At 39.9% G+C, this 22,886-nt stretch overlaps 1 protein-coding gene across 22 annotated transcripts in view, besides 1 other annotated feature; it reads right to left on the reverse strand.

The window, feature by feature from the left end:
- TTC23 (tetratricopeptide repeat domain 23) overlaps positions 1–22,886 on the reverse strand; it is a 114,903-nt gene that overhangs the window by 78,642 nt on the left and 13,375 nt on the right. For 19 of the 22 annotated variants that reach the window (NR_109947.3, XR_007064487.1, NM_001288616.3 and 16 more), the window contains 4 exons: positions 13,569–13,768; positions 6,777–6,900; positions 3,934–4,084; positions 3,624–3,749 (listed from right to left, as the gene is read on the reverse strand). Coding sequence is in view for 20 of the 22 variants with exons in the window: in XM_047432953.1 (XP_047288909.1) it covers positions 3,624–3,749; positions 3,934–4,084; positions 6,777–6,900; positions 13,569–13,768 (601 nt within the window). In the remaining 2 variants the exon portion in view is untranslated. Of the gene's footprint in view, positions 1–3,623; positions 3,750–3,933; positions 4,085–6,776; positions 6,901–10,419; positions 10,583–13,568; positions 13,769–20,023; positions 20,117–22,886 lie in introns of those variants that run through there. The other 3 variants (NM_001288615.3, XM_024450028.2, XM_047432962.1) reach the window with 3 other exon arrangements.
- Positions 2,950–4,149: an enhancer, noted in NCBI's record as "BRD4-independent group 4 enhancer chr15:99758119-99759318 (GRCh37/hg19 assembly coordinates)". NCBI's record gives its function as "activates an origin of replication core promoter dependent on BRD2, P300/CBP, MED14 and CDK7 cofactors, and independent of BRD4, by STARR-seq in HCT116 cells {active_cell/tissue: HCT116}" and the evidence as "EXISTENCE:reporter gene assay evidence [ECO:0000049][PMID:35650434]".

Genomic DNA, 22,886 nt, shown 5'->3' on the forward strand with positions numbered 1-22,886 from the left:
CCTGCCTCAGCCTCCCGAGTAGCTGGGATTACAGGTGCCCACCATCAGGCCCAGCTAATTTTTGTATTTTTAGTAGAGACAGGGTCTCGCCATGTTAGCTAGGCTGGTCTTGAACTTCTGACCTTGGGTGATCCACCCGCCTCGGCCTCCCAAAGTGCTGGGATTACAGGCATGAGCCACCGTGCCTGACCTCCTGCCCATCTTTCTATCCAGTTATGTGTTTGTTTAACTGATATATAAGGGTTCTTTGTAGACTTCAGATATAAGCCCTTTGTCAGTTGTACGTATTACAAATATTGTCTGTAGTATAAGATACATGTGATTTAAATACAGGACAACACAGCACCAAGCAGAGAGGATAAAGAGTGCTGGCACGCTCAAAGGTCCTTGCATTGTTCAGGAAGTGGTTAAATGATTAATTTACAATTAGATTCTAATAAATCAGGGATATAAGTGACAAACTCCACAGTAACTACTAGAATAAAAAGAAGATAACAAGGCCAGGCATGGTGGCTCATGCCTGTAATCCCAGCATTTTGGGAGGCCAAGGTGGGTGGACTGCTTGAGCCCAGGAGTTCAAGACCAGGCTGGGCAACATAGCGAAATTTCATCTCTACAAAAAATACAAAAAGTTAGCTGGGTGTGGTGGCACACACCTGTAGTCCAAGCTACTCAGGAGGCTGAGATGAGAGGATTGCTTGAGCCCAGGGAGGTTGAAGCTGCTGTGAACCATGACCCCACCACTGTACTCCAGTCTGGGCAACAGAGTGAGATCCTGTATACAAAAAAGAAAAGAAGAAAGAAAATAAAAAACAAAAGAAAAAAATGTATAACTTGCAAATTAATGGGTATAAAATGGAATGATAGAAATATTTGATTAATCTAAAAGAAAGCAAGTAAGGAAAAAGAAAAGAACAAAAAGTTGGCAGGAGAAAAGGAAATTTAAACCCAAATAAATATTTTTTAAAAGGTATTGTAGGAAAATATTTACCAAAAGAGAGCTAGGATATAGTATCAGACAGAATAGATGTAGGGGACAAAAAAGGACAAGGTCAACTAACCAATAAAGTGATAGGTTAAGAAGATATGAGGCTGCTAAACTCTCCTCTCACCCCAACAAAATAGCTTCAGGATATATATAACAATGCAATACAATTACAAATCAGTAACACCAAGATATCTTGAAAACTCTCATACCTGCAAACCAAAACACACATCATTTGAATAATCCTTGGACTAAAGAGTAATTTATAAACTGAGTTATGAAATACTAAGAAGTTATCACAGTGATAATGCTTCATGATAAAATATATGGAGTAGAGTTAAAGTAGGTCTTGGAGGGAAATTTTAGAGAATATTTTTGATATTTAGCTGGAAAAGACTTTCTAACCAGACTCCCAAAGCATAAATCATAAGGTGAAAATGAATGGATTTGAGTGAACCAAATTAATAATTTCTAAGCCACGAAGAACACCATAGACAAAATTAATAAGCGGGCAATAGATGTAAGAAAATATTTATATCATTAATATTTATAATATATAAGAAAACCCTGATTATCAATAGGAAAGGTACAGGAAACTCTAAAAGAAAAATAAGAAGGAATACTAACAGGCTATTCATACAAGGTGAATCCCAAGTGGCTAAGTCGTATATGAAAAGTATTCAAACTCACTAATAGGAGAAATGTAAATAGAACTTTAATAATTAGATAGCACGTTATATGCACCAGGTTGGCAAAGATTAACAAAGTCAAATATTGCCAGTGGTGTGTTAGGAACCTACCCACCCTGCAAGTAGGAATGCAAATGCAGATGGGTGTCGTGGTTGGCTGGTGCTTGGTGAACTTAAAGTCTGTTTGTACTCAGTACCACCCCTGGAATATAAACCTCAGAAAAGCAATACCACCCTTGGGATATAAACCTCAGAAAAAGTGTCACTTAGCCACGTAAGTGAAGCTGTGTAAGGATGGTCATGGCAGCACTGCTATGGCAGCAGAGAGCTGGGGACAAGCTGAATGTCTATTGTTAGGAGGATGGACAAACAAAATACAACAAATGCATTCTATAGAGCATTATACAGGAACCAGAAGCAATGAACTAAAATCCAGGCAACAACCAAAACGTGCTGAGTGGAAAAAATAAGAAGCAGAATGATACATACGCTACAAATTTATACAAATTTTCTTTTTTTCTCTTCTTTTTTTTTTTGAGACAGAGTCTCACTCTGTCACCCAGGCTGGAGTGCAGTGGTGTGGTCTCTACTCACTGCAACCTCTGCCTCCTGGGTTCAAGCGATTTCTCCTGCCTCAGCCTCCTGAGTAGCTGGGATTATAGGCATGCGCCACCACGCCTGGCTAATTTTTGTATTTTTAAGTAGAGATGGGGTTTCACCATGTTTGTCAGGCTGGTCTTGAACTCCTGACCTCATGATCCACCTGCCTCAGCCTCCCAAAGTGCTGGGATTACAGGCATGAGCCACTGTGCCCGGCCAAATTTATACAAATTTTAAACACATAAATATATAAAACAATATTGTTTGTTATTCAGAGATACATACTCAAAAACGTAAGCCATCATTAAAGTATTTATCTATGATGTGTGTGTAGGAGAATGAGAGAAAAGATCGGAGATGAAGGGAAAAATTAATTTAAAAATCCATACCAGAGGATTTGCACAGATGAGTGAGCTCTGCACTTGCAGTTCAAAAACCACCCAAGAAAAACAAAAGAACAAAGGGAATTGTGATCACAAAAGAAGATCTTTAACTGCATGAGTCAAAGTTGGTTCTTCCCACTTTCCATTCACATGGAAGCATTAGGTGTGTTCTCCTGGGGCCCTTTCCTAGCACCTTTCTTAAAATGATTCCGTGGGTTCTCTGAGTCGTCTTGGCAATCAACCTACACATACAATCTAGTTAGGAAGGTAAACTGAATTCTTCCGGCTTTGGCTAAGGGCAGCCATGTAGGTCAACTGGGATACTCTGCCTCTTCCAACACAGACCTTTCTCCACCTTTTCCTCTGCACAAGTCCATCTTTCCAAAGAGTGTGGACAAACTCTGTCACCCCAATACTCTGAGGAATTGGCTTAGGTTGCTCTTTGGAGAAAGATAAAAGTACTAACTATGCACAACCTTCTCTTCGTGTCTCTTCCAGCTGAGTTTATTTGGTGAGTATGGAGTAAGGTGAGGAACAAAGAACAATCCTTTCGTGATCATGGATTCAGATGTGTTTAAGATCTTTCTCCTTTGAGGCTTTCATCATAAACTCAACCTGTTGAAGCATTTTAGACTGGAGCAGGGCAGGGAAAAAAGGAAGGGAGGGAGGAAGAGAAGGGTGTAGGGGCTGGGGGTGAGGAGGGAGAGCAGGTAAAACGAAAGTCAAGAGAATAATGATCAGAACTCTGGGACCCAGGGCACTCCACAGAGAGTGAAAAGTGTCACTGATGGATGCCCTGGTTGGGGCTGCTCTGACATGACTGTGTTCCTCTTTTACTTTTACACAGTGACCTCCAGAGAAGCCATGGCCGCAGCCTCATGGAGATGCTCCTCCTACCTGAGACAGATTCTACAGGCAAAGAGCCTCCCGCCATCATGTATGCAAAATCCTAAACTTGAAACTTACTGTGCAAATGATAATCTGATCCGTGCTTCAATTTCTATCCATTCTTCCTTTATAATTCTTCCACATTGTAGCAGCTCCTTTGAAAGTCTCTCTGCTTTTGTCAAATTCTCTGCAGCTTCCTTAAATCTGAATTGTGTTCAGGAAATTTTCCACTTGGTTCTAGATTCTACACCCCATGTCCTGAACTTCCTTGGCTCCCATACTTCCAATCACACTTCCTAAGTCATCCATCAGCATCAGCTTTTTACTTGGCGTGTAAGTGTTACGTGAATAGTATTTCTATTTGTAAAAGTTAGAGGCAAAAGGATACTTTTGAAGGGAGAGTAAAGCTCTGCCCATGGTATGGAAAAGCTCAATGGAAAACTTGAAAACATCTGTATTCTCACTATAGGGAGGCACAATGGAGTTGGCGAGGATTTGTCTGGCTTTTTCTGCATGTTGTTTTGCTTGCAGTGACAGTCCTGTGGACAAAGAAAAAGAGGTCTCAGTTTCTCTATCATCTCAACTGGACAGGAATACAGTTCCTTATGGTCTGGGAATCTAACAAGGTCTCCTTCACATATTGTCAAATGACACATGGAGACGTATCTGGGCAGCATGAAACACTGCCATGACTGTAACAACCAAAGAAGTGTTTTATACCAAGTACCCAAGATAAATTTTCCCCCAAATGGCCTTTTTAGAAATAAACAAAATGAGCTGGAATTGAACAGCTTTGAAACCTCACCAATAGCAGAAGCAAAATATGTTACATATAATTATAAGAAACAAACTGAATACAAGAACTATAGCATTCTGAGCAGGAAATAAAATATTCATGAATTTTAATCCTGGCTGTGTAACTGCAATCTTAATGAAATACTAAAAATTCTGAATCTTCAGCTCACCCACCTATAATCATAATGTCAGAGAGTTATTTTTTTAACATAATACATATCTGATATCTACAAAAACTTACAAACACAATTCCAGTGAGGTAACAGATTAATGTGTGACAATTTCATCTTCCTATGTGGTAAGAGACTAATATGAAACAAAGTGGAGCAAAAAAAAATCACTACTAAGAAAGAATTCCCCAGTGTGTTCCAGTGTTCCTCCACGGGCTTGTTAATCTGTGGGAAGGGAGGACTGAGATCGCTAGCACGGCTTCAGGGCTTTGCACGTCCCTGTATTCCCATCCTCCTCCCCTACACCGACAACCACTTCCACTCACATACACACAGCCCCCATCTTATGTTCTTAGTTACACAAAATTGTATCTTAGATCTCTAAAAAAATCTGTCAAAATATGAAGTTAATTCTGTTCCTATGTCTATAAAACAGGAAGAATATATTTTCTAATGGAGAAAATCAAGGGTATGTGTTTCATGTGGGAATTCTTACACAAGATTGTCTTATTACATATTTTTAAAAAGCACAGACATGTATTAGTGCCACCTGTGCTTGTGATGTTACACAAAGCATGTTGGACTGTATTTTCAACTGTGTCGAGTCCCTGAAGGAACCTGAACTCAATTTACTGGAGGCAGCATAGGGTGAAGTTCAAGAACATTGGCTCTGAAGTCAGACTGCCCAGGATGGATCCCCTGCTCCACCACTTATTATAAAACGTTGGCCTCAGCTTTCTCAGCTGTAAACAGGGATATTAAAAATACCCACCTTTGAGGACTGTGGTGAGGACTGAATAAGGTTATGCATGGAAAACAACATGCCTGGCACCAAATGAGACTTTAATAAATGGTAGATACTACTTTTACTTTAAATTGAGAAAGAAGGACTGTCACGCAGAGAGGCAGCAGGCTGTATAAGAAAAGCATCGTCTGAAACCCCAGATGGCAGGACAAACTGGCATTGAAAACCTAGGTCTGAGTCTCAGATCAGCTACTTATTAACAGTGTGGTATGGGGAAAGCTGTTCTAACTCAGACTCATTGTTTTCCCTGAATCTACAAAATGGGGTGGGAGGGCAGAGTTTAAATTAGATAATCTCCAAGGTCCCTAAGAGCCTTTGATCTAATAGGTAGGACCAGTCTATAATCAGATTTGGCCAAATTTATTGGGTGGCAATAATGAATACGCTTGGTATAGAATATGCTTGGCATTTGGTGTTTTCCACTTCTATTATTTTCTTTATTCACTGGGCCAACCCTGGAAAGTTAGCATCACCATTACCATCATCATCACTTTTCAGCTGAAGAAGCTGAGCACAGAGATGCTCTTGTCCATCTTGTCTTAGGCTGCACAGTCAGTAAGTAGAAGCCATCATCATATCCTGGGTGTCTATTGTTTTTGCCTCCCCTGCACGCATTCTCCCCTCTGTTTCCCTTTTGGGATGCCTGGCTCCTGCACATCCAATCCATGAGATGTGGCGAAGGCCTGCTTCTCCTTCAGGATCCAATGAAGCCAAAAGAAAGGTTTAGCCAATCAGACTATTCCTTGCCTTTGGTATACAACCCAAGTTGTTCCAATTAGAACCCTTCCCAAATCCCGGGATTTTGGTGGAGGGACATTCTTTTCCTCCTGGGAATGCTTATAAGGGAAGTCTAAAGTTGCAGGCAGTCTTGTTGCCACCATGTGGGCAAAACCTGGCAAAGAATGGAGCAAATACCAAGAAAAACAGAGCCAAGCAGTGGGAGAGAGAAAAATTGAATCCTGGTCACATTGTTTGAACACTGGATATGGCTAAGTCTAAAAATTTTTTCCCTTGAATTTTTAAGTTGTATGAGCCAAAAACTTTTGTTTATGCCAATTTGGGTTAGTCTTTTTAAATTTTTTGGTTATTTACAGTCAAGAGATTCTCCAATAAAAGTGTGAATGGATCCCATTCTGGGCCCCTATTCCATACCTTGGGTTTTTTCCTACAAAGTCTTCTGGCCCAACAGATTAATTTTCTCCTAAGAACCTTACTTTTGAAATCATAAAAACAAAAACAAAAACAAAAAAACCAGAAAAGTTAAAATATTTTTTCCATTTTTCCCCTTTGAATGTTTACAGGTTATATACCTTATCAACTCTTTCTAAAAAGAAATGGCTTCTTGGTATTTAGAAAGGAGAATATTAAAAAACCTGATCCTTCTAATTAAGTGTGAATCAAATTTTGGGGAGAACAGCAGAAATCGACCAACTGATCCCCCTCAGTCTAAGGCGAGCTTACCTTTCAGCTGGAGGTAGCCTTGAGCCAGATTAACATGTGCCTCTGCTAGTTTCCAATGTGAGTCTCCATAGCAAATTCTTGTCAGTGCTACGCAACGCACAAGCTCATGGACGGCCTGTTTGTACTGTTAGGAAGAGAAAACAGGCTTACCAGTTATACAACTTAAGAGTCACAAAACACAAAATCAATGCGCTTTTATATCCCTTTGATAAATACTGAGTGACTACTATGTGCAAAACATTGTTCTAAGCACTTGAGATGTATCAGAGAACAAAACAGACAAAGATCTATTTGGGGTGGTAGCATGTACATCTGGTAAGATGAAACAGACAATAAACATAAGAAGTACAATTTATAGTACATTTAAGGGTGAAAAAAAGAAATAGAATTTAAAAAATAGAAAAAGTAGAGCAGACATCTAGTCATTCTCTAGGTTTCCCAGCTGCCCACCAATGAACAGCTACTACATATGCAGGCACAACAGGGGCAAATGGTAGTGTTTTCAAATAGTACACTTTGTGTGTGTGTGTATGTGTGTGTGTGTATGAGACAGGGTCTCACTCACCTGGAGTCACCCAGGCTGGAGTACAATGGCACGATATCAGCTCACTGTAGCCTCGACCTCCAGGGGGCTCGAGCAATCCTCCCACCTCAGCCTCCTGAGCAGCTGGGACCACAGGTGTGCACCACCACACCTGGCTAGTTTTTTGTATTTTTGGTAGAGATGGGATTTTGCCATGTTGCCCAGGCTGTCAAATACTATAGTTTAGCTCTCAATTCAAAACTTTCCTTAGCCATCTGCACTAGCATAGCAAATGAGATCAGCAGGACTTACAGACTTGATTAAAGCAGCAAGAAGCACAGTTTCATTCAGGGATAGGACAAAAAGAACAGAAAACTGGATTCCCAGCTCCAGGTGATCTCAGAGCAGCCATATCCTCAAAGCAGAGCTGGCAGTTTTAAAACACGGTTCCAGGCTGGGCGTGGTGGCTCAAACCTGTAATCCCAGCACTTTGGGAGGCGGAGATGGGTGAATCACAAGGTCAAGAGATCGAGACCATCCTGGCTAACATGGTGAAACCCCATCTCTACTAAAAATACAAAAAATTAGCCAGGCATGGTGGCGGCCGCCCGTAGTCCCAGCTACTCGGGAGGCTGGGGCAGGAGAATGGTGTGAACCCGGGAGGCGGAGCTTGCAGTGAGCCGATATCGTGCCACTGCATTCCAGCCTGGGCGACACAGCGAGACTCCGTCTCAAAACAAACAAACAAACAAAACCTCAGCTCCAAAATTATTTGATACTCCTTCCATTCAGAGATGGGGGTCTATGTCCCATTCCCTTTGAATCTGGGCTTTATGACTGTTTGGCCAATAGAACGTGGAGGAAATGATACAGTGCCAGTTTTCAGGCCACAGTCTAAAGGAACTGGTGGCTTTGCTTTCTGTCTCTTCTTGGGTACTCACTCTTGAAACCTGTTATGGGCTGAACTGTGTCTCCTCCCCAACCTCCCTGAATTCATATATTTAAGTCCCAATCCCCAGCACCTTATAATGTAACTGTTTTTGAAGATGAGGTCTTTAAAGAGGTGATTTAAGTTCGAAGGAGGTGTTAGGGTGGACCCTAGTCCAATACAGCTGGTATCCTTATATATGAAGAGGAAAAGACACCAGGGATGGGCATGCATATGGAGAAATGACCATGTGAGAACACAGCAAGAGGGCAGTCATCTACAAACTAAGGAGAGAGGGCTTTAGAATGAAATCAAGCCCTGCTCACACCTTGGTCTTGGACTTCCAGCCTCCAGAACTGTGAGGAAATAAACTCTGTTCTTTAAGCCACAGCATCTGTGGAATTTTGTTAGGACAGCACCACAGACTAATACAGAATCCAACCACAGTGCTGTGAGGAAGCCAACATGGCCCCATGGAGAGAAGACCCACATAGAAAGGCCTGATAGTTTGAGTGAACCATTTTGGCAGCAGATTCTCCAGACCCTTCAAGACCAGCTGATGCTGTGCGGAGCAAAGCTGAGCAAACCCCACTGAGCTCTGCAAAAACCGCAGGCTCATGAGAAAAATGAATGGCTGTTTTGGTTTTAAGCCACTAAGTTATTGGGGTGTCATGCAGCAACAGATAGTCAGAACAGCAAGAGAGATGGCTGAAGAAAGAAAGCTGAAGGGGTCAAAGCAGAGGAAGAAAGGTAAGAACAAGGACAGAGTTGTGAAGAAGATCCAGGATACACCTAGGATGCACGCCCATCAATGTCAAAGCTCAAAGGGCTTGCATTTCCACACAATTCCTACATGCATTGGAAATACCTTCACCCTAAAACAACATTTTTCTTGACAAAAATACACAGCCAGACAGTTGGCCAAAGGAGAGTCACTTTTGTGACCTAGCAGGAGGAAGCTAAGGAATACATGCTCACCATAAAGTGCTGAAAGAAGGTGGACTGTCATATTCTTTTCTACAGTAACGTTTCTTACTACAAAAATAATGTATGCTCATTGTCAAAATACAGATAAGCAAAAAGATAAAAACTAAAAATCACCTGTAAGTTTACCGCCTAGAGATATCTAGGTAGATAAATATCCCTTTATTCTTTATTTTTGTGAATCTATCTTTATATATTTTTTCTTTTTCAAAAATAGGTTCATAAACTACATGCAGGTTTACAGCTGCTGTTTTAACAATTTACGAATAACTTCTCATGTCATCTTCTATGATATAAGTTTGAATGGCTGCACAGTATTTTATTATATGACTATATCATAACTGCATTACTCAATCCACTCTTTATTGGGCATTTAGCTGTTTGTAAATTTCTTACTCACTGAATATCCTGTATGGATAGCTTTGCACATACCCATAAACATTTCCACAAAACAAATTCCCACAAATGGGATTGCTGTATAAAGGATATGCAAAATTCTGAGGCTGTGAGTAGCTATTGAAGTGCCTCTCCCAGAGGTTGTACCAGTTCATACTTTCAGCGCAGCACATGTGAGCAGAAATGCCCCTTACGTTGAACTGAGTACAAATTGTGGAGTTTTTGTTTGGTTTTTAGTTTGTCAGTTTGTCAGTTAGCCCATTTCTCCTTGATTTAGTCCACATTTTTCTCCCAAATTGATGAGGCTGAGCATCTTCATGTGTTAACTGGCTGTTTGTACTTCTTTTGGGAATCACCTTTTTATTGCCTCTAGACACAGGAAGTTTAGGGAATGACTACTTTGGAGAGAGAGAAAGAGAACAACAACTACAGTGTATGAAAGACACGGAAATGATGACAACATCATGGAATCCAGACAGACAAAAAGAGAGGTAGATCTGTTTTGATAGTGAATCTGTCCCAACTACAGATTTCCAGCGAAGAGGACGGTGCAGGCTGAGTTGGGCTTCCCTGATAATAGCCTTGGTTCTCAGGACCTGAGTAGGGATAGAGGTATACAAGAAACAGCTTGTCCTTCCTTCACGTCCTTATTTGTTACAAGGCATGGTCCAAATATCCCTATTGGTTTTCCAACCTTTATTCTACCAGTTCCAGTGACTTTAGCAATAGGCATCAGTAAGGGGCAGACAGAAGACAAGCACGAAGTAGGAAGGCAATTTCAAAACTGGGAGGAACCTTGGAAATCATCTCACCTGGTCCCCTCAGTTTAAAGATGAAGGAGTCTAAGGCTGGAAAGTCGAGATGATTTACCAGCAAGTGGTAGCGCCAGGAAGTGGTTAAACCGTAAGGGGATGCATTGAGGACTCAGGAGCCAGCTGGAAGGGTCTCTCACTGGCAGATACGGAACAATCCGAGCTTCCATGAAAATAACAGGTTGTAGTGTATTTGAAAAATACAATTTCCTGAACCCATACTGATAGGAATAAATGAATGATAAATAAGCTGTGAAGAAAGAAAAGCTCTTCCTTATAATAGAATGCCAACAAACAAATGTTGAAATAATGTGGAAGTCAGAGACTGGCTATGTGACAAACATCATAGTAATAACTGATTCAGGTGGCAGAGTGAAGTTTTAAATATATACATAGTCTCAGTGAATCTACCCACAAAATACTTATTAATTACAAAGGGAAAAATGGCAATTCTGCAGTAAAGAAACCTGCCAGACAGCACCTTAACCAAGTGTTCAAGGTTGGCATCACTGTACGAAGACAAACAGACATTCTGCACCTCCTGACAGGACGCACTAAGGAGCGCCCCATGTCACACCTGTGGTAGTCCTGCTCCAAATGTACAATCTGAATAGAATCATGAGGAAGCATAAGACGAACTCAAACAGAGAGATATTCTACAAAACAATTAGAGTATATATTTCCAAGATATCAAGATCATGAAAAACAAAGTAGGTTAAGCAATTGTTTCAGATTAAAGGAGACTAAAGAGACATGACAACTCTATTTAACATGAATTCACAGACTGAACCATGGGTCTGATTGTTTTCTGTAAAGGACATTATTAAGAAGAAATATAAACAAGGTTTACAGATTAGATAATAGTATTATACTGACATTAATTTCCTAATTACGATCACTGTACTGTGGCCATGTAAGGGAATAGCTTTATTCTTAGGGAATAAACACTGAAGAATTTGGGGGTAAAGGGCCATAATATCTATAACTTACTCTCAGTTCAGAAAAACAATTAGAGTCAGAGAACAAAGCAATAAAGCAAATGTTAAAAATGAGTGAATCTTGTGCCTTTTCTGTAAGTCAGAAATTATTTTAAAATACAAAATTACTAAAAAACTGATATTTTAAAAAGTAAATTACGTCATGTTAATACCATGCTGAAAATATTTTTAAGGCCTTCCAGGGCACTTAGCTTGAAACCTGCAAGGCCCTAAGTGAACTGACAGCCTCTCTCACTATATTTAATGTCAGCTTGCAGCTTCTTCTCCTTGCTTCAGATATGTCCTGCTTGTGCCTACCCTGTAGATTTATGTGTGCTGTTTCCTCTCCCTGGAACTCCTTTCCCTCAGCTCCTCCACACTGGCTCTTCTCTTCCTCAGGTCTCAGCTTATCTGTCACGTCTTCCTGGAGGCCCTCCCTGATCACCCTACCCAAGACGGAGCCACTCTATGTCCTCCTTAGCACTTATCACAGTCTATAATAATCCGGTTCATTTACAATGTTGATTGCCTCTCAGGTCCATCAGGGTATGCACCTTGTCTGTCCTGTTCACCATTGTATGCTGGATTCTTCACCAGAACCACAGAACAACGAAATGTTTAATACCATTCTAGTTACACAGAAAAGAAGTTAATTCTTTACATTTGTTAAATGCCTTTGGGCATGAGGGCTTAATTCTTTTGCAGAAGTCTGTTTGAGAAAGGCTGCCAGCCTAGAGCCTACAAATAGTAGGTTCTGAGTGAGTATCTGTTGCATAATGAACAAGCACAACCTCAAAACCAAATTTATGCTCTTTCTCTATAATCCTGGTCTTTCTCCTGTATTTGTTATACTGATGAAGGTCATGGACAAGTCTCCAATCACCCAAGCAGACTCAGACCTTGGGTGGTGGGAATTCTACACACCCCATCTTTCTCACTCTCACATCTCCATTCCCTATGTCCCCTCAGTCATCCAGTCCTGTCCCACTGATTTGCATTTCTAAATTCCTTTCAAAAGAGCTCAGCATTTCTATTGTCTCTGCCACACGTAGTTCAGGTCCTCATAATTACTTGCCAGGATTACTGCAAATATCCTCCTAACTGATGCTCCTTTTCCAGTTTTACTCTTTTTTTGTCCATACCCTTCACAGCTATGGGAGTGACTGTTCTTAAAATCAGACCTGCTCATGGCATGCTTCTGCTTATAACCTCATGGTAATCCTCCATCATCTTTAGGAGAAAATCAAAACTCTTTCACTAGGCCTTGAGTGCCCTCTGGGCCTCAGTTCCTGCCCATAATCCAGCTTCATTTCTTGCCCTGTGTCACTAACACATTAGTCCCAGACAGCTCCTTACAGTTCCCCAGACAGACTGCACTCCCTCAGACCATTGGCTCTTGTCCATCTGCTACCTCTGTCCAGAACATTTGGTCCTCTTCCTCACCTGTCCAACTCCTAAGCACTGTTTACCAGTGCAGTCTACGTAACTCCCATCCGAAGAAAGTGTGCCTTAACTGCTGTCCCTCTACCACCTCCAGGCTCACTGTCCACCCCTTCGTGTTTTGCATCTATGTCACTCGAGCTCTCACAGAACTCATCAACCTGACTACCATTATCTGTCCCCCGTCTATCTTCCCAACCAAATCCCGAGTCCCTCCAAGACAAAGACTGTGGCTTTTCCTTCTGTGCCCCTGGCACCTACATTGCACCTGGCACATATTAGTCATACAATAGATATTTATGATGACTGGATGAAGAGGACCCAACATATAAGAGGTGATAGAGAAATGCCTACTGAATGAGTTAGTGAATGAGTAAAACTTTTGAGGAAAGAATGGGAAAGAAGCATGCAGAGAACAAGATTTGAGATTATAAGGAATTACAAGCTCTATGAGAGCAGAAGCTGCATCTGCTTTGTTTGTGTTGTATCCCAATGCCTAGACTTGGCACACAGTGCGAGCTCAACAAATATTTGTTGTTGGCCATGCGAACTGCTGTGCTTGGAGCCTAGAGGTACTGCATTCATTCATGTTATAACAAAGGCACTGTCTTATATACTTTCTTGTATCAAACTGCTGAGATTAGGAATGTAATCCAAAACATTCTACTTCTCTTGATTATACCATATAGCTCAATTCTCAGAGTAGAAATACAGAAACAAAAGTCTCCTTACCTCATGACTGTTGGAATAGGACTTTGCTTTCTCTTCACAGAGGTGGAGTTTCTCTCGAGGAGGCTGGAATAGTGCTGTCTGAAGCAGCTTGTTTTGGAACTTCTTTCTATGAGTGATGCTAACAGCAGCAACAACTTCATCTAGGTGGTTGGATATGTGGGTTTCCTGTGATTCTTGCATATTTTTATATACATTGTCTTCTAATTTTAAAATAAAAAACAAAGATGTTAAATGATAATTTCCATAGTTACTTTTAGAAATATACATTTCAACACTATACCCATAATTTCTTTGAAATTAGTAGCATTATATCCCAAAAGATTATGGTGGCTACTACTGACCTGCTGATTTCTACTTTCAACTAAATTAAACCTTCTTTCTTTATGTATATAGACATACATATATATATGCCTACATACATATACACACATACATACACATGTATATAAACACACATACATACATGTATATGTGTATGTATTACACACATACATACATACGTAAAGTCCAGTAGAAATTAGCCTAGCACATACATATGTATTTGTATGTACATATATATATAAAGTCCAGTAGAAATTAGCCTAGCACATACATATGTATTTGCATGTACATATATATATATATATCTAAAGTCCAGTAGAAATTAGCTTAGCCCAAACAGCTCTCAATGACCCCAGATTAAATCAGCTGAAGCCCAATTGACCCTGAGGTAGAAAATAAATAATTGTTGTTACAACTTTTGCTTCTGGCCAAGATGAAGTCTAGTAACTACATTTATCCTCTTGCCTGAAATAACCCAAAACAAACAGATAAGCAGCCCACAGAACAAAGGATAAAACAACGGTTTCAAGAAACAAGACAAGCAATGAGAGAGCAATTCCTGAGAGATGGAAAAAATAAATCACCCCAGTTTATTGCTTTGAGAGAGTTTCCAGGAAACAGCACAGGGAAGAGGGGACCCAGAAGTTATCCCAGTGGACTACCTGAGTTGAGGAAGTAGAGTTGAGAGTTTGGGGAGACCAAGGTGACTAGAACTGACAGGACAAATTACTGAAGAGGAGAAGGCTCCAGAGACAGAGGAACCAAGATATTAGCAGAGGGACACCCTCAAGTATAGGGACAGAATACTGATTAGCATGTGTGTAAGAAAAGTATTTTAGTCTGGAGAAAGAATCCTTCAATAAGGTTACAGGGAACAGTGTTTTGTGCTAACGTAAGGCTGGCGCCTGTTCCCACCAACCAGACTGAAAAAATTTCTAATTCATGAGGCATTAGATAGTTAGAGTACTCAGAAGCCTTTCATCTCAGTAGAGGCGATAATTAGCTCTAGACTGAACACTGCTCAGATCACCACACAGATCAAAAAAGTAAGACCTAAAAGGATCAAACTGTTTTCAAGGGACTTAATTGCACTAGAGGATAATACTCAAGGATGTTCATAGGAATACTAAAATAACCAACACCTAACGAGGTAAAATTCACAAAGTCTAGCATCCAAAGATTACCAAGCATCCAAAGAAGCAGGAAAACATGGCCCATAATGAGAATAATCAATCAAAACTGACCCAGAATTGACACAGATGTTAAATTAGCAGATAAAAACATTAAAACAATTACAATAATTGTATTCTATATGTTTAAAAAGTTAAATAAAGACATGGAAGAAATAAAAAAGACCCAAATGGAACTTCTAGATAGAAAAATTATGTGTGAAGATGAAAATGTGTGGGATTAATGGCAGATAAGATACTGCAGATGAAAAGATGAATTTGTAGACATAGCAATAAAAATTATCAAAAATGAAAAAAAATCAGTGGGCTGTAAAACAACTTCAAGTTGCCTAATATATATGTCATTTGAGTCCCTAAAGAAAAGCAGACTAGAGGAGGGACAGAAAACATATTTGAAGAAATAATGGCCAATATTTTTCCAAATTTAAGAAAAAGCATAAAGCCAGAGATCCAAGAAGCTCAATGAACACTAAACGCAAGAAACATGAAGAAAACTATACCAAATAAAGTCAAAACATCATAAACAAATTGCTTAAAACTATGATAAAGCAAAAATCTCAAAAGTAGAGAAAAAAGACACATTACGTATAAAAAATAAAGATAAAGATGATAACAGATTTCTTAGGGGAATAAAAAGCAAACAAGGAGAGAGTTAAAGATACTTCTTATCTTTAAAGTATGGAAAGAAAAAAGTTGTCAACCTTAAATTCCGTACTGGTGAAAATACCTTTTGAAAACAAAATTTTAAATAATTAATCGCCAGAAGACTTGCACTACAATGTTCTCAAAGAAATGTAAAAGGAAGTCTTTCAGAAGGAAGGAAAATGATAGCAAATGGAACTCTAGTTCTACAAAACAGACGACCTTGGAAATGGTACGTACATGGGCAAATGTGTAAGGCTGCTTCCATATTACAATCATGTCCAGCTCCACAGCATTTCAGTCAATGACTGCATACATAAAGGTAGTCCCATAAAATTACAGTGCAGCTGAAGAATTCCTACTGGGTAGTGATACAGTAGCTGTCGTAACATCATAGCGTAATGCATTGACTCATGTGTTGGTGGTAATGCTGGTGCAAACAAACCTATTGTGCTGCTAGCCATATAAAAGTAAAGCATATACAATTATGTACAGTACACAATATGTGATAATAGTTGATAAATGACTGTTACTGGTTTATATATTTAATATACTACATTTTATACTTATTTTAGAGGGTACTCCTTCTACTTATACATTTCTAAAAGTTAACTGTAGAAAAGCCTCAGGCAGGTCCTTCAAGAGCTATTCCAAAAGAAGGTATTCCATTATCATCATAGGTGATGAAAGCTCCATGCATGTTACTGCCACTGAAGACCCTCCAGTGGGACAAGACATGGAGGTGGAAGGCAGTGATATTGATGATCCTGACTGTGTAGACCTACATTAATGTGTGTGTTTGTGTCTTAATTTTGTTTTTTTTTGAGACGAAGTCTCGCTCTGTTGCCCAGGCTGGAGTGCAGTTGGCACGATCTCGGCTCACTGCAAGCTCCGCCTCCCGGGTTCACACCATTCTCCTGCCTCAGCCTCCTGAGTAGCTGGGACTACAGGCGCCCGCCACCATACCCGGCTATTTTTTTGTATTTTTAGTAGAGATAGGGTTTCACCGTGTTAGCCAGGATGGTCTCGATCTCCTGACCTCGTGATCTGCCCACCTCTGCCTCCCAAAGTGCTGGGATTACGGGCATTAGCCACTGCGCCTGGCCTGTTTGTTTGTTTGTTTTGAGACGGAGTTTCACTGTTGTTGCCCAGGCTGGAGTGCAATGGCTCTATCTTGGCTCACCGCAACCTCTACCCCCCAGGTTCAAGCAATTCTCCTGCCTCAGCCTCCTGAGTAGGTGGGATTACAGGCATGCGCCACCATGCCTGGCTAATTTTGTATTTTTAGTAGAGACGGGGTTTCTCCATGTTGGTCAGGCTGCTCTGGAACTCCTGATCTCAGGTGATCCACCCGCCTTGGCCGCCCAAAGTGCTGGGATTACAGGCATGAGCCACCATGCCTGGCCTGTGTCTTAGTTTTAACAAAAAAGTTTAAAAAGTAAAAAAAGAAAATAAAAAATTTTAAAAATAGAAAAAAGCTTATAGAGTAAGGATATAAAGAAAGAAAAATTTGGCGGGGCGCGGTGGCTCACACCTGTAATCTCAGCACTTTGGGAGGCCAAGGTGAGCGGATCACAAGATCAAGAGATGGAGACCATCCTGGCTAACATGGTGAAACCCCATCTCTCCCAAAAATACAGAAAATTAGCTGGGCGTGGTGGCACATGCCTGTAATCCCAGCTACTCGGGAGGCTGAGGCAGGAGAATTGCTTGAACTTGGGAGGCGGAGGTTGCAGTGAGCCAAGATCAAGCCACTGCACTCCAGCCTGGGCGACACAGTGAGACTCCATCTCAAAAAAAAAAAAAATGATCAAAGGGCCTGATAGATATTCCTCAAAAGATATACAAATGCCCAATAGGTGTATGAAAAAATGCCCAAGATTGTTATCATTAGAGAAATGCAAATTATATCCATGAGATTTCATCTTACACCTGTTAAAATGGCTATGATTAAAAAAAGAAAGATACATGTTGGTGAAGATGTGGAGAAAAGGGAATCCTTGCACATTGTTGGTGGGAATGTAAATTATGGAACACAGTAAGGAAGTTTCTCAAAAATTAAAAACAGAACTACCATATGATCCATGAATCCCACTACTGGGTGATACATCCAAAGAACAGTATTAGTATATTGAAGAGATCCCTGCACTCCATGTTCATTGCAGCATTATTGACAATGATCAAGATACGGTGTTAATGTAAATGTCTATCAACAGATGAATGGATAAAGAAAATGTGGTATGTATACACAATGGAATACTACTCAGCCTTAAAAAAGAAGGGCATCCTGTCATTTGTGACAACATGATGAACCTGGAAAATACTATGTTAAGTGAAATAGCCAGGCACAGAAAGACAAATACTGAATGGTCTCATTCATATGTACAATCTACAAAAGTTGAACTCACACAAGTAGAGAGTAGAATGCTGGTTAGCGGAGGTTGTGGGAGGAGGAATAAATTCAAGAGATCTATTGTATAACATGGTGACTACTGTATTGTTTCCTTGAAAATTGCTAAGAAAGTAGATTTCAAGTGTTCTAATCACAAAAAGTGATAAATATGTGAGGTAATACATATGTTAATTAGCTTATTTAGCCATTCCACAACATGTACATATTTCAAAACATCATGTTGTACAAATAAAAGAATGAGAGAGATGACATCACTACAGATTCTACAAATACTAAAAGGTTAATGAGAATATTGTGAACACCTTTATACCATAAATTTGACAATACAGATGAACAAATTCCTTTAAAGACACAAACTACCAAAGCCCAAAATATTAATAAAAAAGAAAAACTGTATGATCTCACTCAACATAGAAAAAGCACTTGACAAGATCTAATATCTAATATCTATTCCTGATGAAAATTCTTAGCAAAGTAGGAATAGAATTATACTTCCTCAATCTGATAGGCACCTTTGAAAAACCTACAGCTAACATCAGACTTAACAGTGAAAGACTGAATGCTTTATCTCTACGATCAGAAACAAGACAAGAAGGTTCACTCTCAATACTTCTATACAGATTTTAGATTTTAATCTAAATGTGAAATTTAGATTTAAATCTAAAATACAGATTTATTGAGCTATATTTATGATAAAGCTACGGTAGGCAAGGCAGTTTGTACTGCTGTTAAGTAGACAAGCAATGGAACAGAATGGAGAGTCCAGAAATGGACCCACACATACATGAATAACTGATTCCTGACAAATATGCAAAACCAATTCCTTGGAGAAAGAAGTCTGCTCAACAAATGATACTGGAACAACTAGATATTCACACGTAAAAATAAAACAAAAAACCCCTTTGATCTATATCTCATATTATATACAAAAATTAACTCAAAATTGAACATAGAGTTAAATATAAAACTTAAAACTATAAAAACAATGTGTAAGAAAACACCTGTGACCATGCATTAGGCAAAGCTTTCCTAGATATGACCACCAAAAAGAATCATTAAAAGAACAACATAACCAATTGGATTTCATCAAAATTTTAAATTTTTGCTCTTCAAGAGAAACTGTTAATTAAAAAACTAGAGGCTGGGAGAAAATATTTTCATAAACATGTATCTGATGTAAGATTTGTATCTTACTGGTATAAAGAACTCTCAACACTCAAGAAAACAGCTCACTATACAAATGGGCAATTTATTTATTTATTTATCTATTTATTTATTTATTTATTTTTTGAGACGGAGTCTCGCTCTGTCGCCTAGGCTGGAGTGCAGTGGCGTGATCTCGGCTCCCTGCAAGCTCCACCTCCTGGGTTCACACCATTGTCCTGCCTCAGCCTCCTGAGCAGCTGGGACTACAGGTGCCCGCCACCATGCCTGGCTAAATTTTTTTGTATTTTTAGTAGAGACAGGGTTTCACCATATTAGCCAGGATGGTCTCGATCTCCTGACCTCGTGATCTGCCTGCCTCAGCCTCCCAAAGTGCTGGGATTACAGGTGTGAGCCACCGCACCTGGCCAAAAATGGGCAATTTATTTTAACAGACGCTTCATCAAAGAAGATATACCAAGAACAAATAAGCACATGCTTTATATTCAACATTATTAGGCATCAGGGAAATGCAAGTTAAAACCACAATGAGACGTCACTCATCAATTAGAATGACTAAGATTAAAAAGACTTATTGTAGTAAGTGTTGATGAGGATGGGAAATAACTGGAACTCTCATACACTGTTGCTGTAAATGTAAAATGGTATACCACTTTGGAAAACAGTTTGGCAGGGTTTAAAAAAAAAAAAACTGGTAAAATAAGGCCAAGCATGGTGGCTCATACCTGTAATCCCAGCACTCTGGGAGGTGGAGGCGGGAGGGTCACCTCAGCTCAGGAGTTTGGGACCAGCCTGGGCAACATGGCAAAACTCTGTCTCTACAAAAAATACAAAAATTAGCCAGGTGCAGTGGCATGTGCCTGTAGTCTCAGCTACTCCGGAGGCTGAAGCAGGAGGATGGCTTGAGCCTGGGAGGGGCAGACTGCAGTGAGCCAAGATCACACCATTGAACCCCAGCCTGAGAGACAGAGGAAGACACCATCTCAAAAAACAAAACAAAACAAAATTGTAGTAAAAAATATATATATATAAAATAAAATTTCTCATTTTAACCTTTTCATTTTTTTCCCTTTCTTCATGTGGACATTTTAAGCATTTTTTTTTTTTTTTGGTTTGTTTTTGTTTTTGAGACGGAGTCTTGCTCTGTCGCCAGGCTAAAGTGCAGTGGCGCGATCTCGGCTCACTGCAATCTCTGCCTCCTGGGTTCAAGCGATTCCCCTGCCTCAGCCTCCCGAGTAGCTGGGACTACAGGCACACACCACCACGCCCAGCTAATTTTTTTGTATTTTAGTAGAGATGGGGTTTCACCATGTTGGTCAGGATGGTCTCAATCTCCTGACCTCGTGATCCGCCTGCCTTGGCCTCCCAAAGTGCTGGGATTACAGGCATGAGCCACTGTGCCCGGACCATTTTAACCATTTTTAAGTGTGCAGTTCAGTGACATTAAGTAAATTCACATTGCTGTACAACCATTACCACTGTCCATCTCCAGAATTTCCTTCACCTTGCAAAACTGACACTCTGTACTCATTAAACAGTAACTTCCCATTCCCCCTACCCTCCACCTCTGGCAACACCCATTCTACTTTCTGTCTCTGAATCTGACTGCTCTAGGTACTTTGTATGTGTGGAATTATACATTATTTTGCCTTTTGTGACTGCTTATGTCTCTTAGCATAATGCCTTCAAAGTTCATCCATATTGTAGCATGTCAGAATTTCCTTTCTTTTTAAGGCTAAATACTATATAACATATTGTGTTTATACATTTATCCATTAAGGAACACTTGGGTTGCTTCCACCTTTTAGCTATTGTGAATAATACTGCTATTGAACATTAATGTACAAGTATCTCTTTGGGTTTCTGCTTTCATTTTTGGGAGGTACATGCCCAGAAGTGAAACTGCTGGATCATATGATAATTATGTTTTTAGTTTTTGGAGGAAACATCGTATTGTTTTCCACAGAGGCTATGCCATTCTACATTCCCACTGGCAGAGCACAAGGGCTCCAATTCCTCCACATTCCCGACAAAACTTATTTTCTTTTTTTAATAATAGCCATCCTAATGGATATGAAGTGATATCTCATGGTGGCTTTGATTTGCAGTTCCCTAATGACCAGAGATCCTCAACATCTTCTCATGTACTTATTGGCCATCTGTATACTTACTTTGGATAAATGTCTATTGGAGTCCTTTTCTCACTTTTTTTTTTTTTTTTGAAACAAGGTTTTACTCTGTCACCCAAGCTGGAGTGCAGTGGTGTGATCGCAGCTCACTGCAGCCTACAACTCTTGGGCTCAAGTGATCCTCCTGCCTCAATCTCTGTTGCCCCGGCTGGTCTCCAACTCCTGGGCTCAAGTGATCCTCCTGCCTTGGCTTCCCAAAGTGCTGGGATTATAGGTGTGAGGCATTGAGCCTGGCCCTTTTCCCACTTTTTAATTGTTTTTGTTGTTCTAGTTATTGTTGATCTGTAGGATTTCTTTATATATGCTAGACCTTAACCCCGTATCAGATACACAATTTGCAGATATGTTCTTTCATTCCATGGATTACCTTTTGTTGATTATTGTCCTGTTTTTGCACAAAAGTTTTCAATTTTGAAGTAGCCCAATTTATTTATTTTTTATTTTGTTGCCTTGGCCTCTGGTGCCATATCTGACAGTTTCTTACTAAGTTAAACATACGCTTAGCACAGGAGTCATCATTTCACTCCTAAGTTTTTTTTTTTTTTTTGAGACAGAGTTTCACTCTTATTGCTCAGGTTGGAGTACAATGGCACAATCCTGGCTCACTGCAACCTTCGCCTCCTGGGTTCAAGCGATTCTCCTGCCTCAGCCTCCTGAGTAGCTGGGATTACAGGCGCCCGCCACCATGCCCAGCTAACTTTTGTATTTTTAGTAGAGACGGGGTTTCACCATGTTGGCCAGGCTGGTCTCAAACTCCTGACCTTAAGTGATCCACCTGCCTCAGCTTCCCAAAGTTGTGGAACTACAGGCATGAGCCACCATGCCCAGCCAATTCCTAAGTATTTACAAGAGAGAAATGAAAGCATGTATTATAAAAAGACTTACATACAAATGTTCATAGAATTTTTATTTTTAATAGCTAAAAAACTAGAAAAAAAACCCCAAATGTCTATAAATGGGTAAATGGGTAAGCAAACTGTGGTATAACTATACAATGAAATACTACTCAGTAATAAAAAGGGATGAATATGTTGCGACATGAATAAATCTCAAAATAGTTATGCCGAGTGAAGAAGTCAGGCAAAATAGAGTACATATCACGTGATTCCATTTATATAAATTTCAATGAAATCTACTCCAATGTATAATGACCAAAAGCAGATCAGTGATTGCCCTGAATTGGGCTAAGGATGTGGTATGACGGGGACGGGACACAAGAGGGAGGAAGATGTAGGAAAGGGTGGAGAGGAGGGATTACAAGGGGCATGAGGAAACTTTTTGTGGTGGTGGATATGCTCATTATCTTGACTGGTTGCAGTTTCTTGGGTGTACACATATGCCCAAACTTAGCAAATTGTATACTTTTATGCCAATTAATAAAACTGCTAAAAATCATATA

The sequence above is a fragment of the Homo sapiens genome, chromosome 15 (genome assembly GCF_000001405.40).
Source record: "Homo sapiens chromosome 15, GRCh38.p14 Primary Assembly".
NCBI lineage: Eukaryota > Metazoa > Chordata > Mammalia > Primates > Hominidae > Homo > Homo sapiens.